Source organism: Homo sapiens, chromosome 20 (assembly GCF_000001405.40).
Source record: "Homo sapiens chromosome 20, GRCh38.p14 Primary Assembly".
In the NCBI taxonomy this organism is placed as follows: Eukaryota; Metazoa; Chordata; class Mammalia; order Primates; family Hominidae; genus Homo; species Homo sapiens.
The window spans coordinates 60108262-60118871 of NC_000020.11; the positions used below are offsets into that span (position 1 = coordinate 60108262).

Genomic DNA, 10610 nt, shown 5'->3' on the forward strand with positions numbered 1-10610 from the left:
TTAGTTCTTTTCCCTCTACATTAAATGGCAGGGTTGGGTGAGGTGGCCTCCAAGGATGTTTCGGCTGTGCTCTTCTCTGATTTATGATGTCTGCCTCACTTATGCTATGAAAATCCCAACCTTGCACCAAGTTTATGGACATGGTGATATTCTTCAACATAAGTTGCCTCAATTGTATCGGTATTAAAAAGTGACCATGAATTACAGTCAAGTGCTGCACAGTGATGTTTGAGTCATTGACAGACCCTGTATACCACAGTTGTCCCATAGGATTATAATGGAGCTGAAAAATGTCTATCGCCTAGTGACATGGAAGCTGCCGTAACATCATAGCACAGCACATTCCTCACGTGTTTGTGGTGAGCTGGTTTAAACCTACTGCACTGCCAGTTGGAGAAAAGTCTAGCACATACAATTGTGTATAGTACGTAATACTAGATAATAAATGACTGTGTTACTGGTTTATATGTTTACTATACTATAGTTTTAATCATTAATTTAGAGTGTATTCCTTCTACTTACTAAAAAAAAAACAATTTAACTGTAAAACAGCCTCAGGCAGGTATTTTGGGGAGGATTTCTAGAAGAAGGCATTGTTCCCATGGGAGATGACAGCTCCAAGCCTGTTTAGCCTCTGATGACCGTCCAGTGGGACAAGGTGTGGGGTGGAAGGCGGTGACATTGATGATCCTGACCCTGTGCAGGCCTAGGCTAATATGTGTGTTTGTGCCTTAGTTTTTAACGAACTAAGAGCGAAAACAAAACCAACCTTGTCTTTTACAGAAGAAAGCTTATAGAATAAGGATGTAAAGAAATTATTTTTATACAGTTAAAATGTGTTTTAAGGTGTTATTACAAAAAGTTAAAAAAATAAAAAGTTTATAAAGTAAAACATTTACAGTAAGCTAATGTTAATTTTTTATTGAAGAAAAAATTTTTTCTTTTTTTGAAAGAGAGTCTCTGTTGCCCAGGCTGGAGTGCAGTGGCACAATCTTGGCTCACTGCAACCTCTGCCTCCTGGGTTCAAGCAATTCTCGTGCCTCAGCTTCCCAAGTAGCTGGGATTACAGGAGTGTGACACCACACCTGGCTGATTTTTGTAGTTTTATTAGAGATGGGGTTTCACTATGTTGGCCAGGCTGGTCTCAAATTCCTAAACTCAAGTGATCTGCCTACCTCTGCCTCCCAAAGTGCTGGGATTACAGGTGTGAGCCACTGTGCCTGGCCTGAAGAAAGAAAAATGAATTTAAATGGATTCAGTAAAACCTAGGTGTACAGTGTTTATAGAGTATACACAGTGAACAGTGATGTCCTGGGCTTTCACATTCACTCACCACTCACTCACTGACTCACCCAGAGCAACTTCCAGTCCTGCAAGCTCCGTTCATAGTAAGTGCCCTATACAGGTGGGCCATTTTCTATCTTTTATACCATATGTTTACTGTACCTTTTCTATGTTTAGATACACAAATACTGTTGTGTTACAGTTGCTTACAGTACTCAGTACAGTCCTGCTGTACAGCACTCAGTATAGTCACAGGCTGTGCAGGTTTACAGCCCAGGAGCAAGGGGCTGCCCACATAGCTCAGGTGCGTAGCAGGCTGTAACCTCCAGGTTCGTTCAGTTCTCTCTATGAGGCTCCCACAGGAGGAAACGGCCTAAGGATGCATTTCTCAGAAGGTATCCCAGTCGTTAGGGGACGTATGACTGTAAAAGAAAAGAACCCAGCTTCAAGAATCAGGAAACTGCATTGATGAGTCTCAACTTGATTCATCTCTTAACAACCACCAGTGTCATGGAGAATTTCCAATAAGAAAATCCCAAGGTTTTGGGAAATGCTCTTTGAAGATTTTTGTAAATTGGTAACAGCTTGGTGTCATGGATTAGACATATTTTCATAGTTTGCTTTCTTTTTTACAAGTAACCCAATTATTTTCGTCTAATTGAGGAACACAGCAGACACTTAATGACATCTAAGTATTTCTGACGTGCTTCTTTCCTTTTCATCCTCATAAATGATCCGATCCATACATTTTGGAGAAAATTATGAGGTTGGTGCCAAAGTAATTACGGTTTTGGCCATTATGTTCAATGACAACAACCACAATTACTTTTGCACCAACCTAAGTATATTATGGCTCACATTCCAAAAAAGTGATTAACATTTAATTTAGTTATCAATACATGAATACACTCTTTTGTAAAAAAAAAAAAAAAAAGGAAATGGAAGCATTCCAGATAAAGGCAAAGTCCTTTTGGATCAAACGTCTCCCCGCTCCTGTTCTCTGTGATCCCTTCTCAGGCCTCACCCCTTCTGAGGTGACCATCTCCATCAGTTCTTTGTCTCCTTCCGGAATGTTTCCATGTGTTTGTATTATAGATATAGCTAGCTAGCTAGATTCCCACAGAATATCTATCAAGTGGTTTTGTTTTGACCTAAAAGGCCTCATCGTTGGCCCTCTCTTTCCCCCCTTCAACATAGCTTTGTGAATTTTCCGGTAATTCCGTGCAGACCTGCAGGAGAGTTTGTGCTGTGGAAATATTGCTCATTTTATACAGCCTCGATGGGTCTCTAGGTTGATTTATGGTTTTCACAAGAAGTGCTGTGATGAACAGCCTTGTGTGTGCCCGTGGGGGCAAGGTACCACCCTCTGCCTCAGTGAGGGTGCTGAGGAGGGGTAGAGGCCAGAGGGCATCCCTGTGAGGCCGACTGTGACAGGGTTTATGGGGCTGTTCTCAGGGTCACACTGCCAGGGAAGTGGAGGCAGTGAGGTTGGGCGAAGGAAGGCCTCAGCTGCCCCCAGGGTTGGGGTTGTGTCGTGGAGCAGGGACGGCTGCCCGGAGCTGTTCTGAGCTGGGGCCACAGGGTAGGGTGCCTGCACCCCCACATGTGTCAGTCATTGGATGTGGGTTGCCCTGGGGAGGGGGCATGACCTTGACGATCTTGAGCAGTCCCGGGGATGGGCTGGTAGGGGTGTGTGATAGGAACCTGGCTATGGCTGTCGGTCATGAGCACCGGGCAGCCTGAGGCCCCAGAGGTCTGGTTCTGAGAGAGGAAGTGTGCATAGAGCAGGGCCCGTGAGGTCTGCACATGGAGTGAGCAATGCACAATTGTCTTTAATGGGCCCATGCACTTGAAGAGTGGGCGCTGTCAGGAGATGGATTGCTTGCTTTTAGAGTAAGAAGACAGTGCCAGATAATCCGAGGCAAGCTCTGTGGCATTTGGGATGCATACCTGCATTTTTGGAACCATTTCCAAAAACAACCTTTGTTTGTAGCTGCCTACAGTTGATCTCGTTCTGTGTGTGTATCACCCAGTCAAGGGTCACTTTATGACATTGTTTTTTCCATGCAAATGATTTTTAAGGTAATCCTAGGAAGCTGGACCCTTTTTGCGTGTCCTTGACTAGTGACTCAGAGCCCAGTGGAAACCTCCAAATGGAAATGGCCACCCATTAACACACACTGCACCCTGCTGGGGGCAGCCACATCAGCTAGAAGAACTTGAATTAAATTGGGGTCTGATAACTTATTTTTATGCAATAAATTTTATTAAACATAAATGGAAATCATTAGCTGAAACACTTAATTAAAACTATGGCCAAATTAGATGAATGCTAAGGAACGTTCTCTGAATTTATTGCCCAGTGATCTATAGACTTGCTCAGTAATAGACTCCCAGAAACCTCCTTAATGAAGCTATTAAGTGCATAAATATCATATGTGCCAAATGGCAAAATTTAGCAATGATCTAACCCAATTTACTTGCTAAGTAAATAAGCCCTGTTGAGAGAAGCCACTAATTTATACTGATGACAGTTGTAGGACAAAAACCCCTTACCTGCCTGAAAACAGGCATTTTAAATAAGCAATTTATTGCATCTTGAGGCTGGGCAGCGAGGAGCTTTTCCACTCTTCTTGCTCCATTTCCTGAATTTTCCTTCTTGTGAATGTAGAACACACGCCATGGGCCACAGAGTCACTTTGGCTTTAATCTGCTTTGTGGAGTTTGAAATTCCTTCTCAGGGTCCCCTCTTCTCTGCTTGCAGATTTCGATGAGTTCTTGGCTGACTTCAAACCTGGAACTGCTGTGGTTTTGGAGATCCGGGTGGGCTGCAGCTGAGGCCTTGGACCCAGCCTCCCCACCCACTCCTACCCTTAGGATCTGGCTCATTTGAATGGTCAAAGCTTCATTGCTAAAAGCTGGGCTTCAGACTCTTCATTTAACAGCTGGGCTGGGTAGGTTGGAAGGCAAAGGCCCAGATCGTGGCCGCAGGTGGGCGTTGCAGAAATGGGCTGTCCTTTCCCTTGCTGACCTGTGTTGACCCCATCTCTTGATCTCAGCCTCGCTCCGGCAGCATCAGCAGCAGCACAGTGGCCTTTCCCTCCACCTGGAGTGCCCGTCCCCAAATAACCACACACTGCTCCCTCCCCAGCTGATGCCAGAGTGCAGCCTGCTCACCTCCTCTCATCATGGCGTCCAGCAGGGCCCCCTCTCCTGTCATCTCCCCTCCCTGGCTGGTGCTTGCTTCACAACTCTTGACACCACGTGATGTATTTTTATGTTTTTTTTATTAATTGTCCATCTCCCCTCCTTGAATGTAATGCCAGTGGAGCCAGGGGATGGTGTGGGTAGTTGTTTTGTTCATTTGAATTCCTAGTGCTTCATACAGTGCCTGTTTCCTGGTAGAGGCTCTCTAAATATTTTTTGAATAAATAAGTGAATGAACGAGTGGATGATATGCAGCAGACACTTGGAGTCCCCGCTGTGCACCAGGCACTGTGCTAGGACAAGAACCACACTTGTCCTTAAAATGGTTGCCATCTATTGGGGCTGGAAATGAAGTCAGGGGAAGTTGCACGAAGCAGGTTGATTCTCTGGTGGGGCCGTGCGTGGTGAGGAAGCAGCACAGGGAAGTGTGCCTAACCGGGTGGCAGATGGGGAGGGCTCCTGAGAGAAGTGAGTGCAAGCTGAGCTCATACCCTGGTAGTCTGTGCCTGTGTGTAGCGGGTGATAGCTGTGGGGGAGGCTCAGTCTCTCTGGAGCATCTGCACAGTGAGGACAGACCGCCAAGGAACTCCAGGAACAGGCATGGGGCAGAGGAAGAGAAGCCCTCAGACCCAGTGCAAGGAGAGAGAGTGAGCCAAGGGCACAGTCAACTACGTGACCTGGTGCTCAGCAGGCAAGAAGGAGCAGGAGAAGCATGGCTACTCACTGGAACAAGGAGGCTGTGCTGGGGGCCAGGTAGCCCAGGCCAGACCGCAGTGCAGAGAAGAAAGTATTAAAGGCAGAAGCAGACACAGTGAAGGTGGGGGCTCTCCAGGGTTGGCTGGCAAATTTTTCACATGGTCTAATCCCCACTTGACCCAGTTGAGACCCAGACTGCTCAACTAGACACAGGTCGGCCTGACTTCGAAGTGTGAGTTATGTCACTCTGATAGTGGGTCCTAAAGTGCAGATGTGTTTGGGTGATGCTTTTCAGTAGCCTATGGACATGGCACCAAGTGACAATGACTTCCGTGCCTAAGGAGTGTTCTGAATGCAGAACAGGGAGCACCTCCTCCGGGTTGGGAGAGATGCCTCTGCCCCCACCTGCCCAGTATCGGCCTCTGTGCATAGCAGTACTGGGCTTTCCTGGAACCCATGTTTCATGACAAATGAGGCTGGAGATGAAGTCAGCAGGAAGTTGCATGAAACCGGTTGATTCTCTGGTGGAGCTGTGCATGGCAAGGAAGCATCAGCACAGGGAAGTGTGCCTGACCGGATGGCAGATGGGGAAGGATGCTGAGAGAAATTAATGCAAGCTGAGACCATATGTGCACTGATAGGCTCCTCACCACTCTACTGGGTCGAACAGTGTCCCCCCTATAATCCATGTCCACTCAGAACCTCAGAATGTGACCTTATTTGGAAATAGAGTCTTTGCAGATATAACTGGTTAAGATGAGGTTGTACTAGATTAGGGTGGATCTTAATTGGCCAATGTCCTTATAAGAAGAGGAAAATTTGGATGCAGAGATGGACTGAGAAGAAGGCCATGTGAAGAAGGCCATGAGAAGAAGGACTGGAGAGGAATAGCTGCCAGTCATTGATATAAAAATGGAGTCGCTACATCAACCATAGTAAAATGGGGTGCAGCACCCCCACCACATGCCTGACTTATCACAAGACATCCCTGCTTGTATGCCTATGACAGGAACTATGCAAGGAACTCCTCAAAAACACAGGATTCCAGGTAAGCCACTTATGGATGCACATAACTTGTCCAACACTGGCTGCTTCCACCAATGAGCTAACACCAACTCCCGGAATAAGCCCCTGTGATCAATGGTCTTCATTTCAAAACAACTTAAGGTGGACTTCTCCCTTTTGTCTTTAAAAGCTTCTCCTAGTCCCAACCTCTTTGGATGTGCTTATGGCTCACCAGAGAATGCATATCCTGGATTGCAATCCTCTGCTATTCCCGAATCAACTCTTTGGAAAGTCTCTCTCTGTGTTGTTATTTTACAAGGCCAAGTAATACCAGGGATTTCCAGCAACCACCAGAAGCTGGAAGAGGCAAGGAAGGACCCTCCCTAGAGTCTCCAGACAGAAGATGCCTCATAGACACCTCGATTTCAGATTTCTGGCCTTCGGAAGTGAGAGAGAATAAATTCCAGTTGATTTAAGCCACCTGGTTTGTGTGCTTTGTTGGCAGCCCATGAAAGTCATATCATGACTTTTGCAAACTGACCAATTAATAATTAAGAAAAATGGCCTGAGATGGTAAACTGATGAGCATTTTGAAATTCACAAAAATTTGTTCTCACGTTTGTTATCCTGGGTGAATCTTCTGAAGCTGTATGTTAAACACACAAGATTCCTATGTAAACCATGATGTCTTCACAATATTGAGCATATTTTATCTTTTAAAAAAGTAAATTACCCATTCTTGCACAAAAAAGTAGATTTTTGTTGATCTATATTTTTATTTAGAATAAATTTGATGAAATCAGGTGGTGGGACAGCTGGCCCAGCTTGGAATAATGATCCCTCTGGATATATCCTTGTCTTGTTCTCATTTACAACTTTTGAGGCATAAAAGCATATTTTCAAAAAACCAACGCTTCTATATGAAAGCAGATTTATCATTCAGATCCATCATTAATTTCCCAATGACGTTCTGCCTGCCCATAAAAAAGACTTAGAGCTCGTTATGAAAATTTTATTCCAGAGAAAATGGTCTTGGGACATGGTTTGCACTGACCTCTTTTAACCTCTTGTTCCCTGTGTTATTATTATTAAGTAATAATGTTGCTTCCTGCCATTGCCTGCCAACATAACTCTTCCCTCTTTGTACTTCAGGAATCTGGGGACGGTTTTGGTTGCAGAGGGCAGATCAGCACTTTGCCATCGCCCTGTGCTCCTGGCCAGTCCCCATGCCGCTGCTGGGATGACAGTCTTACATCATCTTTTATGAGTACATCAACTTATTTGCAATTACGTTTAGATTGTCTAATAAAACCGGGTGACATTTTAGCTTACAGTTTATGTCCCAGTAAAAGGCTCCAAATGTTATTGCCATAAGAATCTATGTGGCAACCCAACATAAACCTTTTATTTCTAGCTGGACAGCTGACTCTGCGTTTAGCAACAGGAAAGCAGGGAATTGGAGGAGCGGGTTTCGGGGGGCGGTCGTGACAGCAGCCACCTCCTGCGGGTTTTGTTTTCTCTGTCAGGTTCCCCTTCTAGCACTCAAAAGCATCCAGCACTTTCTGAAAAGGAGGCCTGGGAAATGGTTGGACATGTCTCTGTTGTGGGCTCTGGGTGTGAGCCACAGAAGTGAGAGCTGAAGAAACCTCAGAGACCATCAGGCTTCCTCGTGGGATAGTTTTGGGTCCTTAGGAAATTAGGCCTTGGCACTCAGCTTAGATGACTTCCATTACAGTCCTATAGGTGTGAAATAAACATCTGGCTCAGAGGTTCTCCACTGAGGGCCACCATGGGTCAGTGTCTGGAGACATTTTTGGTTGTCACACCTGGGGGCAGTGCTGAGACTACTGTGTGCGCATTCATCTAGCGGGTGCAGGTGGGATGCTGCTGACACGTAACATGCACAGGGCAGCTCCGCCACAGAGAAAGATCCAACCCCGAATCTCGGCATGACGGAGGCTGAGAAATCCTGATCTAAGTGATAGCTTACTAAGCAAGGCCTTGGCGTTCAGAAGCGGTTGCCTGATTTCCTTCTTTCCTTTTTGAGTCATGGTTTTGTTGAGTTCTTGAAAGTGATAGACCTGCTGTAAATAAAATCACTGGATAAAGTTGGCGAGGGGTGGCCTGCCAGCCTCCAACCCCTGCCTGATGTGGGGTGCGTGGCCGGCCAGCCTCCAACCCCTGCCTGATGTGGGGTGCGTGGCCAGCCAGCCTCCAACCCCTGCCTGATGTGGGGGGCGTGGCCGGGCAGTCTCCAACCCCTGACTAATGGGGGGGGCGTGGCCGGCCAGCCTCCAACCCCTGCCTGACGGGGGTAAAATAGTGAAAAGCAAAAGCACCTGGTGTTTTTAGGAGACAGGAGACACAACAACTGAATATGTGGGCAGATTTGGGGGAAGAAAGAAATGAGCCCCAATGACCTGCTTCAGTTTTCTATTGAAAGAAATGCAACTTGGAAGCTTCATTTTTTTTTTTTAAGCACATCCTTTAAAAACATTGCCCAGTGCGTTTGGAAGTAGCCTTCCAGAAACCCTTGGGATTTATGACCCCAAAGTATGCTCACAGGTGCTCCCAATGAACCTTTAGGTGTAACGTGGATGAAGTGTGGAATGTGCCGTGACTCCTGCCTCTTAAAAGCTTACAGATTCCAGAAATGAAACCAGTTCATGCATAAAATATCTTCTCTCAGAGCACGGTCATTTTCATGCTTCCCCTTGTGTGATGATCAGGGTTATAAAGTATTGTGGTTATACCAGAAGATCCTCAACTGTGTGGAAAGAGGCTCTTCTATTTATAGCTCTCCCCATCGTGACTTACAGCATATGTGTTAATCTCCCTGTGAATTCTGAGCTCCCAAATGCTGAAGGAGATATGCTAAACCCTTTCCCCGTGGCGTTCTTCCAGACAGAATTTAAGAGACACCAGAGGATGGCACATTTATACTGAGCTTGCAGTTTCCTAAACATGAAGAAGATGAACGGCTCTCAGTTAAGCAGCACGGGTCAGATAGGAGCTTGAAATTGAATATTTGAGCTGACACGGGAGAGACATACTGTGAGTGGCCCCACGAAGTTAGCTGGATCTCTAAGCTTCCTAAGACACCATGATTAGAAATAGATTGAGGTCAGGGTATGCGGTCCTATTTGAATTAATGAAAAGCCAAATTGCTCCTCAGAGTGCTGGTTTTTGTGCTGCAGGTCAGACCACTGGGTTTTGTGGACCCTTTGCAGAGGTCGGGGGAGCAGCTGGGCTCTGTCCTTTTCTCACCTTTCGTCTTCTATCTCTTATAGTTTGAGATTCCAAATACGATTTCTGTGGAGAAAACAAAAAAGGACTCTGTTTTTAATTCAAAAGGTGAGGCATGGTTAATTAAAACATTGATGTGAACTGTTTTAAAAGAAAAAAATAATTGGTTTACTTTTGAGTGCTGAAGAGTCTTGGCAGAGTGGAAAGTAAATGGGCTTTGCTATTGATCAGACTTTGGTCAAAATCTATGTGCCACTTACTAGTCCTCTGACCTCAATCCTGCTGATTCTTAGTTTCCTTGTCTTTAACATGGGGATAGTAATTCATACTTTCAATGGGCACTGGGAGGTCATAGAGAATGACACCCACAGCTCCCTTTGATGGCAGCTGTGGCAGAGGGTCCAGACAACAGGTCTGCTTAAACAAAGAGGTGGGTAATGATGGCAGTTGGTGAATGGAGGTCTTGGTTCCCCTACCGCAGGTCCCTACTGACCTTTCTAAGCCCGGAATCATTTAGAGTTCTTTGGTAGCAAGCAATAGAAATGAGCTCTGTCTATTTTAAGCAAAAATGAATTTGCCTAAAGTCTGCTGGGTGGCTGGAATGGACAGGAATGCTGTAGGATCAGGCTCTCGAGCCAGAGAGAAACCAGGGCAGCCCCCTTCAAAGAACAGAACAGATGGGCGAGTTTGTTGGGCATTTCCAATGGAAATAAGCTGATGCCCTTTAGTTTTTCTTTCTTCCCTGATCTGACTCCTTCTAACTTTGTTTGGGTCACAAGCCTGGTTCTTAAGGGAGGACAGAGCACTTAGACTAAAATGCATGAAACCTCTGCACAGTGGGGCAGAGGTGAGCTCTCCAAGTACACCCAGATATTGTTAGGATGTGGGAAGGGATGCTGGGAACCAAAATGCTAACAGTGCACTGCAGGCTTCATCTGTCCCGAGCTTCAGAACACCTTGCCTACCCAAAGCCATCCTCCTCTCTTAAGTTTGCTTACTTCAGCCACCCTCGGCTGCCAACTGGATAAAAAGTATGGTCAGTCCCAAGTCATCTGCCCCTGCTTGTTTATCTGAAGTCAGGATTTTACGGAAGCATCGGCTGCCATGGCAAATATTCTTGTCATCACCAGGCAGATAAGTGACATATGCTACCATCTCAGGGAGTTAGAGAG

The 10610-nt window shown here is 45.8% G+C and overlaps 1 annotated feature.

The window, feature by feature from the left end:
- Positions 2936-3475: an enhancer, noted in NCBI's record as "H3K4me1 hESC enhancer chr20:58686253-58686792 (GRCh37/hg19 assembly coordinates)". NCBI's record gives its function as "activates a minimal SCP1, AML or CMV promoter by ChIP-STARR-seq in primed H9 embryonic stem cells {active_cell/tissue: H9 hESC(primed)}" and the evidence as "EXISTENCE:reporter gene assay evidence [ECO:0000049][PMID:30033119]".